Consider the following 15,607-nt stretch of genomic DNA (forward strand, 5'->3'; position numbering starts at 1 on the left):
AAAGACAGGTTAAAAAGTCTAAACCAAATGTTAGCAAATAAAGCAGCAATAAATACATATTTTTCTATGTACCTATATGTGTATGTATATTTGTGTGCATATGGCATGAAAGGCTTTAAACATGAGATGTTCTAATAATTCACAATGTTAAGAGATTAAAGGGGAAAAACCACAGAAAATTATTCAACTAAACAACCATTCACGATAAAAATGTATGGCAAATTTGGAATAGGAGGAAGTTACCAAAACTAATCAAAGATATCTAATCTTGATGGTGAAATGTGGAAGCATGCTCTTTAATTGTAGACACAAGTAAAGAATGCTTGTTCTCTCCATTTCTATTTAACAGTCTTTTGAAAGCATTGCTTTTTTTGGACAAGTGTCCTCACTGTCACCTGGGAGCTTGTTAGAAATGCAGGTTCTCAGTGCCTGACCTACCACTGAACCAAGATCTTCCTTTTAAAAGGATCCCTCAGGGATTCATATTTTAAAGTCAGAGAAGCATCCGTGCAGCCAGTCAATAAATCATTTTAAAAAGTGGTATAAAATATAGAGTATAAAAATTGGAATGGAAGAAACAAATTTTTGTTATTCACAGATGATACGATTGTCTACAAAGAATACCTAAAAGAATCAGAAGAAACATCATTAAAAGTACATCAAAGTTTGAAAAGTTTCTAAATATTTGTTCGATATAAAAATTATTAGATTTGGATATAGCTGCAGCAAGCATTTGGAAAATATAACTGAAAATTGTTGCCATTTTGTAATAGCAACAGAAGTCTACAGTGGATGTGAATAAAAAATGTATAAGATCTTCGTAACAAAATGTATAAAATGCACTGAATAACACTAAAGGAGGCAATTAATAGAGGGATACGCCACAATTATAGCTAGAAAGGTAAAGCAGACCAACTGTACTGATGCGTGTCAAAGGTAACACTACCAGTCAGTGGAAAAATGATGGATCAGTCAATCGATGGTGTGGAAATAACTAGTTAGCCATATGGGAAACATACAAAAGTGGATTTCTTCTCACACTGCACACAGAATTCAATTCCATATGTAAAAGAACTTTACGGTGAAATAAAAAACTTGAAAAATTTTTAGAAGGGAAACATTATTTTAACTGTGATTCATGAACTATATGATAGAATGAAAACAATGACATTTTATATCATCTGGGACATTACTAGATGTAAAATAATTAAGTTTATTGACCTCTAAACCAGCCCAATAGGGAAAAAGGGAGTAAAGGGGAGCATCTTCTAGGCAAATGATGTTCCCATACATAGACTTGCCAGAGCATTTGCAAGATTCCCTTTAGAATCGATGTTTGGTCTCTTGCCTATCCCTCCTCCCCAGGCAGTCACTTTCTCTGGATTTTTTTTCCCTCTTTCTTTAGCTTTTCCTTCTCAGTCCTGGCAATAGGCCTTCAACACCACACCATCACCACTCCACCAATTCTGGAGGGATATGATTTTCAAAGGAACAAAGTTTTTGGAGTTGAGTTCCAGCACTAACATATGTATGGACGAAGATAACAGTCTACAGCTTTCTGTTTTCCTCCCTATTGCTCTAGAAGAAAACGCTGCCAAGAAAAAGCTACTTCTAATTTTTTCATAGAAAAAAACTGCTACTAAAGTATTTTTTTAAGAATCATTCTTTTCTTCGGGAGAAGATATTTCCAACACTTGTTGTGATCAAGAGAAATTGCAGAATATTTTTAAAATTCTTAAAAATCAATCAGAAAAAAGAGTCTGGAAGAAATTTGAGGAAGGCTTAGAAATAATTTTTATAGAAAAAGAAACATGAATCACTAACAATATTTTTAAGGCTTAAATGTATTATCAGGGAAATTAAAATTAATTAAAAAATTAGTATCATGTTACCACTAGATTGACAAAAAATTTGTCTTTCAAAAAACACGAGAGCTTTTATAAACTACATGTGATCACATATTCTTTCTCCAATACTCCTTGAGAACTACTAGATTATAAACATACATACACATACATAGGCACACACATAGGCACACACACACACATACACAGTCATTTAAGGTTAAAATACGGTAAATATTTTCTAAGTCACTTAAAATTATTGCCTGTGGATTTTTCATGTAAAATATTAAACTCTTCCAATGTTTGAACTTAATGGTTATTGAGAAATACGAAAAACTATTAGCTTTCTTGATTTAATATAGTTAATATTGCTTATAAAGGAAAGAAAAAATGCTTGGCTACAAGGTCATCTCATTTTAAGATTACATTGATTAAACATGTAGTATAGACAGGGCATCTAACCCCCATTTCACTAGCCAGCACTGAAAACTTCTTTAACCTTGCATAAAATGCATGCATATTCTTTGAAAGTCTTTTTTTGTAAACGAAGTATTAGATTTTTAATGTAAATTATAAGAAATGTAATGTTTACTAATGCCGTCAAGAATGGCAGGTCAAATTCACCTGGTTTTTAAAGATCAAATGCCTACTTTTACAGTCACCTTTCAACCTTTGTTTTAGACTCTAGGATTCGTTTGTCACAGGTTTGCCTATTTGGGCCACAGCTTCCTTATATAGGGTACAGAGCAGCATTCAAAGGTAGTGTTTAAGTATATGGACTTGGGTGCTAGATCACTGTGCACTAACACCCAGCTCAGACACTTACTAGCTGTGTGACCTGGGGTAACTTAACAGAGCCTCATTGAGCTTTGGTTTCCTCACTAGTAAAATGAAGCTGAAAGGAGGATATATTTCATAGGGTTGTAGCAGTTACATGAGTTAAAATACCTGAGCTATTTAGAGCAGTGCCTGGTTCATAGCAGGTGATCTAGGAGTGTTATTGTTCTTCACGTTATTCACATTTAATAGCAAATCATACTGCAAAAAATGGTGTCAATGTAATGGTCATTACAGGCAATCTAAGTTGCTTTTGCTCTTGACAGTATTTTACACCTTTAAAGTTTCCAGTAAAAAAGATAATGCTAATACCATTTATAAAACAGAAGAACAAAGAATTCCTTGACAATTTAAATATCTAAATTTATTAGTTAAATCAATTAATTATTTGTTGTTGCTGACTTCCACTAAAATGTGCCTAATCGTTTTATGAATGTCTTCCTATTCCAGTCAGTATTTTTAGCAGGTTTAATTCTCAAGCATTCCAATTGGATGTGCTGGAATTTGGCTCCTATTAACTCATGGTTTTGTCCTAGTGATTAATTTATCCTACCAGATTGAATAAGTATATATGTATGTACTTGTGTGTTTGTGTGTGTGTGTGTGTGTGTGTGTGTGTATAAAATTTACACCAGTGGCAAAAATAGTGATTTCATTTTGCCAGTTTGCAAGGCAAAATGATGTTTGCTATTGTATTTCTTTTGCTAAAAAAAAAAATAAAGCACGCTCGAGTATTTTTACTGTCTGCACACTATTTAACCTCATGTCTTATTGTGTAGCTGAGTCATGATGAATACAACAAGCAAACATCCTTAATGTTCTGTTTTGTCAGTGCTGGGCTGTGCACTATGGTGGCTGCCCAGGAGGAGGGGGGCAGGACATGAGCACTCACATCAAGGATCTTATATCAATTTAGGAAGATAGAACTAAAACACCCAAAACAACAGTGAGCAATACCAAATGGTTTCAGTTCAACCCATGATAGTGTACAGGAGTCGAATAAACAACAGGAATGAAAGAGGGGAAGATGGCAATAGTCAGGGAATGTTTCATGGCTGAAGGGGTCACTTATCCCCAATTCAGGCATTCGACTACCAGCTTCATGATTCTGCCATATCCACATTTCTACATCATGATTTTTGTTGTTTCTGCATCCCCTATATACTATTATTAATTTTAAAAATTCTGTAATAGACTAGTTTTTTAAAAACTGAAATAAAATGTCTTCATTTAAAGAAGAAACTTTATATCACAACTATAAATGGAAAGTCAGTAACTCTTGCCATAAATGCAGCATAAACAGAACAACCTTATTAGTTTCTATCCAGATAATGTTGCCTTCGAAAGGCACTAGGCTACAGGCCGGTGTTATCTCTGTTTATAAGACAAAGCAGGTGTTAATAAGTGTTAGAGACTTAGTAAAGCCAACATGAGACTTTCTGCTGTCCTTCCTTCTTCCCTACCATCTTTCTTCCCTTCCTTTCTTCTTTCAACTTTCCTCTTTCTCTCTCTCCCTCCTTCCTCCTCTTCCCTTCTTCCTTCCATCCTTTAGCAAATATTCATTGAGCACCTATTATGTGACAGGTACCATTCTAGGCACAGAGGATACAACAGTGAAAAAACAGAAAAAAGCCCTTGCCCTTATAGAGCTTACATTCTTGTTGGATGAAAGCAGTCAATAAACAGATAACAAAGGATACAGTAGGTCATAGGTGCTATGAATAAAAATACAGCAGGGAACGTCAAGGTGGAAGAAAAAGCATGAATAGGAAAGGATTACTGCTAAAGTAACATATGAGCGATGATCTGAAGGGCAGGATGGAACCAGCCATCCAGATACTTAGAGGAAGAGAATTCCCAGCACTGGGAACAGGTAGTGCAAAGGCTGTGATGCAGAACATGCTTGGCACATTCAGGGAACACCAGTGAAGTCAGAGTGGAGAAGTGAGTGGGTGAGGCGGACAGTGGTTTGAGAAGATGTCAGATCCAGGTCACTTGAAAGGGGCGGTAGACATAGATCATGTAGAAGTTTAACAGACATAGCAAGAATTTGACTTTGACTCTAGATGGCATGCCATTGGATGGCTTTGAGCAGAGAGCAACACGATGTGAACTAATTACTGTTTTTGTAGAATAACTCTGCTATGAGATTAGACTGGATGGGCAAAAGCACCAGTCGGAAAACTGGTTAGGAGGGTATTTCCATTAATTTAAGAGAAAGATGAGAGAACAGTCATGTGGGAAGCACAGGAAGTAGTAAACAATATTGGATTTGTTGGGCAAAGTGTATCCACCACCCCCCAAATACACACACACACACACAAATCTCTATCTCAGCACTTATGTATTTATGGTTTATAAATGAGGCTGTTTATGGGCAGGACACGGTACCTCACACCTGTAATCCCAGCTTTTTTGGAGGCTGAGGTGGGGGGATCACTTGAGGTCAGGAGTTTGAGACCAGCCTGGCCAACATGGTAAACCTCATCTCTACTCATAATACAAAAAAATTAGCTGGGTGTGGTGGCCAGCACCTGTAGTCCCAGCTACTTCGAAGGCTAAGGCAGGAGAATTGCTTGAACCTGGGAGGCAGAGGTTATGGTGAGCCAAGATCACACCACTGCACTCCAGCCTGGGCAACAGAGTGAGATTCTATCAAAACAAACAAACAAACAAAAGAAACATGAGACCATTTATGGGGATGGGGCTGTTCTCCCTGCCCCAAATTTGTTGTCAGTGACTGGCAATCATGCCTTATTCATCTGTAAACCTTACTGACCACAGTGCCTGATAAAGGTGCTTAAAAAGTTGGTGCGACTGAATTTCAGATGAGTGGAATAATGAAAGGCACAGAGGAAAGAAGGCTCACAGTAGGTATTTGGGGCAAGAAGATCTACGTGGGAAGTGCAGAAAGGCATGGGCATTGTGGTGAGGCACCTCTCAGAGAAACCGAGGTTCACATTAGAATGGATTTCACGTGAAAGAAGTAGAACTAAGAGAAGTATAAGAGGAGAACGATTTAAGATGATAGGAAAGAGGCCAAGTTTCATGGAACCTTTATTAAAAAAAAAAGAAATTCCATATAGGTTAGATTTAGGAAATCAGGATTCGGAAAGGGCTAGGATTTACTACATAACTTTCATTCTGAAATCCTTACATTTCAACTATCAATTCACTGAATAATGTCAATATTTTATTTTGCTGCTTTTAAGAGATAAAAAAGAGCTGTTCATAACTAATGGAATATGTATATGCACACATACACACACACATATACATATATACACATATATACACATATATACACGTTGTGTGTGTGTGTCTGTATGTGTGTATATATATATAATGTATATGAAATTCCTCAATTTCAAAGACTGGAATAGAAACGTTCCTATAGATATACAAGGATCATTTATACTCCTAGGATGAAGAGACATGCATCATGAAGGTTTACTTGGGTTAATTAGGTATATTTCAAGGGTGATTAAGGAACAATAGGAGATCACTAAAAAAAAAAAAAATCTCTGCTGCAAAATAAAACTAATGGAAAACTGAGGCAGGACTAGGACAGCAGTAGAGAATGATGCACCACTGAGAATGGGGGAAGAGGAATTAAGGCAGATAGACCTGGAAGAAAGGTGGCTGGAGGAGCAGATATCTTGTCTTTACATCAGTGCATTCCTGATGTATAAGGGAGACTTGGCCCATCTTGCATAAAGCAGTCAGGTCAGAGTAAAAATAAAAACAGATGTATAACTGCCCAGTCTCTTGCTGGAAACGTGGAGACCCCAAGTCTTGTATGGAAGGGAGACAAAGTCAACAGCTATTTTTGCAGGTAAAAGAGAGGATTTTTTTGTTTCCTAATCCAGGTCATCCTCATCTCTTGCCTTTACTTATAGACACAGCTTTCTAATTGGCCTTGCAGGTCAACACTTGCCCATCTGTGCACCATTCTTCTCCCAGCCAATTACTGGCCTCTAAACTATTTTTGAATAAATAGCAAATCTTATATTATCTGTTTCAACCTCATTTCCTGACACTCTTTCCCCACTTTACCCCAAATTGCATAACTTCCTGGTTAATTCTTTAAAAGTTGCCTGTTCTAACACTAACTTCTTCCTCCCTCCCCAACCCATCTCTACAGTTAAGTTTATGTCCTCTTCTTATTTGATCCTGTAGCACCTTCCACCTGTCTGTTATAATATTTGATACACTTGTAATTCTAGATCTGTCACCCCAGAATGTAGAAAAGTGTCTGGTACATGGTAAACACTTAATATTTGTTAACCGTTGAAGGTTGAATGTTTACTATTGATGAACATGAAGATAAAAAGATAGTAGCCGACAATTATTGAGAATGAAAGGGTTTTTACACTAATTTACATTTCAGATAAGGTACAGCTTTCATTGAGATTTAAAAAAAACTCAGGTTTGAAATTATTATAGAACATTGTATAATTTCCCATGTTCACAAATTTAAAAAATACAGTACACTTTAAACAAAACAGAGTTCACATAAAGCATATTTGATAATCAGCTCAGCTCCTTGGTGAAAAAAACTAAAATTTGGAATAGTTAATTGAATGGCTATCATTTAAATATTTTAAATACTTGTTCTTGAACTATAAATAACCACATAGAAATATGAGGAAAATTAAATTTAAGAGGGTGTTTATTTGGAGAGGAATTTTAAAACAAGTCTTATGAATCATGGTAAATACCCTTACAGGTATACTCAGGGCACTGGAGTGCACTTTATGCTCCAACAAACCCAAGACTTAGAGACAGTTGCTAGCTGCACACAAACAGTGTCACTGTCCACTATTTTACACAAACGGCAATTGAGTAGCAAGGGAAGGTGAATTCCTCAGTCCTGAGTTACTTCTGGGTGTGCCTCAGATGTTTAAGCTGCACATTAACTAACTCATTTAGGCCCCCAGAGTAACTATTAATGTACCAAAGCTACAATTTGAGAAGACCCTTTATTTCCAAGAGAGCTGGAAGAATCTTCAACAATTCATAATACTTGTTCTTATTAAATTGCGAATTCTGGGCAAAGAATCTTGAGGAGTAAAATTGCCTATGCCATTTCACATGAATGATATACAGAATGTGACTCTGAAATGTCTGCCATTTTCAGAGCATTACACATGGAGAGCTTCCTCAATTTTCAGAGGACCTCTACTGCTACAGGGAAAATTTCGGTTCACTTGAGTTAGAATTATCCTTAAAAGGGATAGAAAAATTCAGGAATGCAACAACATTGACTTACCAAGACTCACAAGTTGTATACACCATTTAGAAAAAGTTTTTAGCCTTGAAAAGGAACATCTTGTATTATTGTTAATATGAATATTTATGAAGCACTATCAGTAGGCTTAACTCAGTCCCTGCTCAATTAGCTTATAATTTAATTAGTCCTAAATGCAAATCCTCTAAATTGGGGTGGTTGGCTTTTGAAATGAATGCCAACTAATATCATTATTGATGGCTCACTATCTTCTGCTTCTCTCTCTCATTTCTCTTTTCTTCTTACCTTATACATACATTTTGCTCTCAAACACCCACCCTTCCTCAACTGAAAGGATGTAAATGAAGGTACACCTGCAAAAGCAGAAGCCCTGTGGTCCACATTGAACTTTAAAATCCTTATTAGCATTTTGTATCTGAAAATTATAGGGATGTTTTGTGAATTTTTATAGATCTAACACAATTGTCAAATATCAGCTTTGAACCATGAAAACATTTCTAAGATATTACGCAAACTAAACTCTAAATTGAGTTTTCTATTTCTATTTGAATTTCACATATCTAAATTTCCTATGTTGTTTCTGAGAGAGCTCCATATCTGTGCTGGAGTTGGTTCACTGCACAACATTTCTTACAGGTTTAGATAGCACACCTTGTTTTGTGCTACATTCTCTCTTGGGAGACCTCAGTTGTATTACAATCATAGATGGTTGCTTACTAATACAGAAAGTAGAAAAAAAAGCTGCCCCTTTGAAAACTATTTAATAACTTTAATAAGCTGCTTTGTAAATAAGTAAATAAAAAGATACACTTCCTTTTGTCAAAGCAAACTCTTTGATATGGTCTGGTTCTGTGTCCTCAACCAAATCTCAACTTGAATTGTAATGCAAATTGTAATCCCCACGTTTTGGGGGAAAGTCCTCATGGGAGGTGATTAGATCATGGAACAGATTCCCCCATGCTGTTCTAATAATAGTGAGTGACTTCTCTGGAGCTCTAATGGTTTTATAAGGGGCTTTTTCCCCTCCACTCTGCACTTCTCTCTCCTGCTGCCATGTGAAGAAGAACATGTTTGCTTCCCCTTCCACCATGTTTGTAAGTTTCCTGAAGCCTCCCCAGTCATGTGGAACTGTAAGTCAATTAAACCCGTTTCCTTTACAAATTACCCAGTCTCAGGCAGTTCTTTATAGCAGTGTGAGAACAGATTAGTACAGTCAGTTGGTACTGAGAGTAGTGTGGCACTACTGCAGATACCTGAAAATGTGGAAGCGACTTTGGAACTGGGTAACAGGCAGAGGTTGGAACAGTTTGGAGGCCTCAGAAGAAGACAGGAAAATGTGGGAAAATGTGCAACTTCCTAGAGACTTGGAGGGCTCAGAAGACAGAAAGATGTGGGAAAGTTTGGGACGTCTGAGAAACTTGTTGAATGGCTTTGACCAAAATGCTTATAGTGATACGAACAATGACGTCCAGGCTGAGTTGGTCTGAGATGGAGATGAGGAACTTGTTAGAAACTGGAGTAAAGGTCACTCTTGCTATGCTTTAGCAAAGAGGCTGGTGGCATTTTGTCCCTGCCGTAGAGATCTGTGGAACTGTGAATTAGAGAGATGATTTAGAGTATCTGGTGGAAGAAAATTCAAAAGGAAGCACACCATAAAAGTTTGAGAAATTTGCAGCCTGATGATGTAATAGCAAAGAAAAACCCATTTTCTGGGGGAAAATTCCAGCCAGCTGCAGAAATTTGCATAAGTAATGAGATGCCAAATGTTAATCACCAAGACAATGAGGAAAATGTCTCTAGAGCCTGTTAGACGACTTCACAGCAGCCCCTCCTATTACAGGCCTGGAGGCCTAGGAGGAAAGACTTTATTTTGTGGGGTGGGCCTAGGGTCCCCCTGCTCTGTGCAACCCTGCATCCCAGCTGCTTCAGTCCCAACCATGGCTAAAAGGGGCCAACATACAGCTCAGGCCATTGCTTCAGAAGGTCCAAGCCTCAAGGCTTAGCAGCTTACACGTGGTGTTGGGCCTGCAGGTGCACAGAAGTCAAGAACTGAGGTTTGGGAACCTCCACCTAGATTTCAGAGGATGTATGGAAATGCCTGGATGTCCAGGCAAGAGCCTGCTGCAGGGACGGGGCCCTCGTGGAGAACCTCTGCTGGGGCAGTGCAGTAGGAAAATGTGGGGTGCAAGCTCCCACACAGAATTCCCACTGGGGCACTGCATAGTGGAGCTGTGAGAAGAGGGCAACCATCCTCCAGACCCCAGAATGGTAGCTCCACCAACAGCTTGCACTGCGCACCTGGAAAAGCTGCAGACACTCAATGCCAGCCCATGAAAGCAGCCAGGAGGGGACTGTACCCTGAAAAACCACAGGGGTGGAGCTGCCAAAGTGGTGGGGACCCAACTCTTGCAACAGCATGAACTGGATGTAAGACATGGAGTCAAAGGAGATCATTTTGGAACTTTAATGTTTAATGACTGCCCTATTGGATTTTGGACTTGCATGGGGCCTGTTGCCCCTTTGTTCTGGACAATTTCTCCCATTTGGAATGAGTGTATTTACCCAATACCTGTGCCTCCACTGTATCTAGGAAGTAATTAACTTGCTTTTGCTTTTACAGGCTCATAGACAGAAGGGACTTGCCTTGTCTCAGTCGAGACTTTGGACTTGGACTATTGAGTTAACGCTGAAATGAGTCAAGACTTTGGGAGACTCTTGGGAAGGCATAATTGTGTTTTGAAATGTGAGAAAGATGAGATTTTGGAGGGCAAAAGGTGGAATGATATGGTCTGGCTCTGTGTCCTCACCCAAATCTCGAATTGTAATCCAAATTGTAATCCCCATGTTTTGGGGGAGGGAACCTCATGGGAGGTGATTAGATCATGGGAGCAGATCCCCCTGCTGTTCTCATGATAGTGAGTGACTTCTCAGGAGATCTGATAGTTCTATAAGGGGCTTTTTCCCCCTTTCCTCTGCACTTCCCTCCCCTGCCGCCATGTGAATAAGAACGTGTTTGTTTCCCATTCCACCATGATTTTAAGTTTCCTGAAGCCTTTCCAGTCATGCAGAACTGTGAGTCAATGAAACCTGTTTCCTTTATAAATTACCATATCTCAAGTAGTTCTTTATAGCAGCATGAAAATGGACTAATACACCCCTGCAGTGATAAACATTTTCATCTTTTGAGAATAATCAAAAATAGATGTGCAGCAAAAATGTCATACCATTGCTTCCTGTGCCCTGTGATGCACAATGGAGCAATGCAGCACTCCTCACTAGATAAACATTCTGAAATAACAGTACAGGGCAAGCAGTCCTAGGAAGGCAGACCACAGAGCTTAGAAAAAGTACACGCTGCAGTTTGAAGTGCAAACCACAATGAGGCAATGAGGAGCTTATGTCCACTCTCAATATAAAACATATCTCTGTTAAGTCCTCAAATGCCTATGGTTCTCTGCAGTCACCCATTAATGACAACTAAGGGACCATGAAGGGGGAGACATGGACTGGCATTGTCTGCTGCACCATTCCTGGTGGTTTGATTAAAAAACACTGAAACTGGAGAGGATATGTTTAGAAAATAATTGTATGCTTGCTTCAATTCAGCTTTTCTCTCCACTTTTAAAATCAGGTAAAGCCAAACTCATATATATTCTTATTATCTACAACAATTACTGTTTCAGGAGGTTGACATGTCTTGTTACCTAAAACCACTGAAAATTTGAATGTTGATCAACATTTAAAATAGCAAGAGGAATCTTTTCCCATTGCTTAATTTTATTTTTTTGAGACAGGGTCTTGTTCTATCTCCCTGGCTAGAATGCAGTGGCGTGATCTCGGCTCACAGCAACCTCTGCCTCTCAGGCTCAAGCAATCCTCCCACCTCAGCCACCCTAGTAGCTAGGACTACATGTGCATGCCACCATGCTTGGCTATTTTTTTTGTATTTTTTGTACATATGGTGTTTTGCCATATTGCCCAGGCTGGTCTCAAACTCCTGGGCTCAAGCAATCCACCAGCCTTGGCCTCCCAAAGTGCTGGGATTACAGGCATGAGCCACCAGGCCTGGCCAATTTTATTTCTTACTTGACTTTTTTTGTTGGTGTAGCCATTCTCCTATTGATAGACACTGTTCATTTTAATTTTTGACTATTACAAAGAATGTTTTTGGGAAATTTTAAAATTTTTTTCTTCTCATGCCAAAATAAAAGCTTATAACAGAAAATATAGGCAAAACGTGAATATGTAAAAGTTTCTGCAATCCTACTTACCCTGAAATAACCACTGAATGGCATGGTGGTTGTTATGGTGTGTGTGTGCATGCAAGTGTGTTTACAACATTTATCTTTTTCTGAGTATAAGCTTATATGTAAATTTTAAATTTACATATATGAATAAGCAAATGCATAAATTTGTAAAAATTGAATGGTACTAAACATACTTTTTATAAGATCCTTTTTTAACCCTGTAAGGCTATTAAAATATTCAAAACACTATCCTTTTTCTAGTACTATGTTCACAAAGTATTCATTTTAAAATATCACTATAGAACAGTATATTACAGCAGGCAAAGAAGTTCAGTTGAAAGTTATACTCCTAATATTTGAGAGAGATAAGAATGGATGAAGTTTGATGTACTTAATCCTATTGCAATAAAGTGAACTTTCAAATATTTCAAGCCTTCACTGCAAAGTAAAATAAGACCTATTCTTATTTCTTCAAAAATTTTATATATTATAAGTAGGTAAGGTATCTCCAGCTGAAAGAAATAATTTTATGGCCAGCTTTCCAAACCTTCCAAATTGTATATCACTTTCTTCTCTTTTAATTCTGCTGTCTCAGATATTTAATTAATAAGAGCTGCTGTAGCAAGGGGCTTGTCCATAATTTTATTGTCAACATTTCTGAGTCATCTACTTCTGATTTGTTTTAAAATCAAATGCAAGATATTTGGCTAACATACAATCACCATGAGCTAGGAATATAACAAATAAACCAATGACAGCCTTCTCTGATGCACCCTTACTTTCATCTGAACCATTGTGCTAAGAAAAATTAGTTTTTTATTCCTTAAAAGTCTTAAGTATCCTTCTGTTATATCTGAAACCTCAACTCCTCAACTCCTTTTTTGTTAGTTGACCATCAGCCATCAACCACCATCCAGTTAAAGTCAATGATGTGAACTGCACGCTTAAAGGTAAGCAAAATTCTTTTAAGTTCTGCTTTGAAAAGAGGGAACAAAACCCTTGGTGACAGGAGTTTGTAATCTAATAGGGGCACTGTGATTAAGTGACATAGTGCATACATGTGTGCCAGGAAACAAATCTATACTGAGTACAATCAGAAACAGAGATCCTATCAGACATATGATAAAGCTTGCTTAAGGAAGCTTGAGGGAGGAGTGACAATCTTTATTATGGAAAAGGGTGTAGTTTGGGAAAATACTATTACATCAAGCTGGGAAGGACAGCTAAGAGAATGGATGACAGAATCAGGATATAAAAAGAGCATAAGGTCAAAATATAACCAGATGGAGTTAAATAGGGTCACATTTGAAGTCCTGCCCTTTGGTTAAAACAAAAACATCTAACTGAGCAGCTGCCAAGAGAGAAGGAGATGGTGCCTAAGTCAAGCCCTTTTAGTTAAGTGCAGGATGTCACAACGATACGATGTGGCAGCCAGTGTCTATCTAATCTAAAGTCACTTTCATTGATAAATAACCCCAGGATGAGGCAAAGAAAAAAAAAAGTCTCTATGATGTTCTGAGCTAATTGGATTACTTTAGGAATTTCTGGAATTTGCTAATCTTTGGGCCATTAAATTACAAAAGGAGGTTATGAGATAGGAGCTAGTCTAATGGGGAGTCACTAGAAAAGGAAAGAGATGTGATGGTATAATGGTAGCCAAGTTAAGGAATAGAAAACATAGGGAACAGACCTGATGGTTACAGATACAAAAGTGTCACATGAAAATGGAATTTCAGGCAGTTGTGTGCTGGGTCACCAAAATGTCATTCCCAAAGTTTACTCCATCGCACCTGGCCACTCTGCCCTTGACCCTCGACTCAGCCAAATATGACATATCTCTGGAAGGCTGGCAGATGCAAGCTGAACGGTTGGCCATAAGAGCCCAGCTGAAACAAGAGTACCTGCTTCAGTACAACAACCAACTCTAACCACCAAGGGCTCATCGAAGATCTTGCCTTAATTCGTTGGACCTATGCAAGATCAGCAAATGTCTATTCTAATTTCAGACTCACTCCTAAAACTCACTCTTGGGAGCTCTGTGTGGAATTGGGCCCCTCTTCTTCTGGTATTATGTTTTCAAAACTGACAGGGATAGGAAAGAAAAACTTATCCAGGAAGGAAAATTGGATGGAACATTTAACATCTCATATTAAGTCTGGCAATGATGACTATAAGGATCTTGCTTAAATAAATTGTCTATTAATCATTAAAAAAAGAAAGAAAGGAAGAAAATGGAATTTCACTTGCCCTGTGTGTTTCCAAGATTCACAGGTAGGAGCAATGCTACTTAGAAGTTTCACGGAGGCCAAAGTTCAGTGAAAGCAAGACCAAGCCAATGACACAGAGCCAGCCAATGACACATCAACACTGACAAGGAGAAGGATGTGCAGCAATAGGGGCACAAGCATTGACCTTTGAAGAGTCACATCATAGCTGTGTTAGCACTGAACCACAGGGCACTGGTGTCTTTTTTCATCCTGAAAATTCTGATTCAACAAAAAAGTTTGTTTCCTTCCCAATTTACCTTCCTTTGAACTAATTAAACTTCTATCCTCTTCATCCCTCAACTATTAAATATTTAAAAATATGTTGACCAATTTAAGGTTTTGAAATAAAAACATTATATGACCAAAAGGTTTGATAAATTCTCAAAAGCATAACACTGTCTACTTCTCTGTAGGTATCTCGTGAGCACCAGATACTAAGCTCCCTTGATGAAAATAGCTTTTCAAAATATGATAGATATGCTAGTGCACTGTATTCGGAAAAATGTGAGTTCATATGGACCTGTCAGGATGTAAAAAACATGCAATACTTGGTGTGTTTCCTAAGGAGGGCCCCGGGTAAGGCCCCAGTGCTGTGCTTCTCACATTGAAAACACATATGAATCACCTGGGATCTTACTGCAATGCAGATGGTTACCCACTAGGTCAGGGTGGGGTCCAAGAATTTCTACCAAGTCCAGGTGATATTCATACTGCTGGTTCATGGATCACATTTTGAGTAGCAAGGTAAGGCGTATTTCCCATGAAGCACCATTGCAGAATGTTTATTACTAGGCCAATATTCACCTAGGCATTTCTTTGCTTTATATATTAACACTTCTATTGACACAGATCATAAAATTTCTGTTTTCCTTTCTTTGAAAATTAAAATATATGGTATACTAAAACTTAAAAAAAAATCAGACAGTTTTTTCCCCCAGGTACTTAAGAGGATACAAACCCATGAAACTTGGCCTCAATTAGATTACAGTGGTCCCTCAGGATCTTTGGGGATTGGTTCCAGGTCTTCAGGCAGATACCAAAATCCATGGATGCTCAAGTTCCTTATATAAAATGACATAGTATTTGTATATAACCTACACACATCAATATACTTTAAAGCATCTCCAGATTACTTATACCTAATACAATGTAAATGTTATG

General features: G+C 38.0%; 1 protein-coding gene and 1 pseudogene across 26 annotated transcripts in view; one reads left to right on the forward strand and one right to left on the reverse strand.

Moving 5' to 3' along the window:
* Positions 1–15,607, reverse strand: part of PDE4D (phosphodiesterase 4D) — a 1,553,091-nt gene that overhangs the window by 545,885 nt on the left and 991,599 nt on the right. The gene's annotated exons all lie outside the window — the stretch shown is intronic.
* Positions 13,916–14,389, forward strand: NDUFB4P2 (NADH:ubiquinone oxidoreductase subunit B4 pseudogene 2; annotated as a pseudogene).

The sequence above is a fragment of the Homo sapiens genome, chromosome 5 (assembly GCF_000001405.40).
Source record: "Homo sapiens chromosome 5, GRCh38.p14 Primary Assembly".
NCBI lineage: Eukaryota > Metazoa > Chordata > Mammalia > Primates > Hominidae > Homo > Homo sapiens.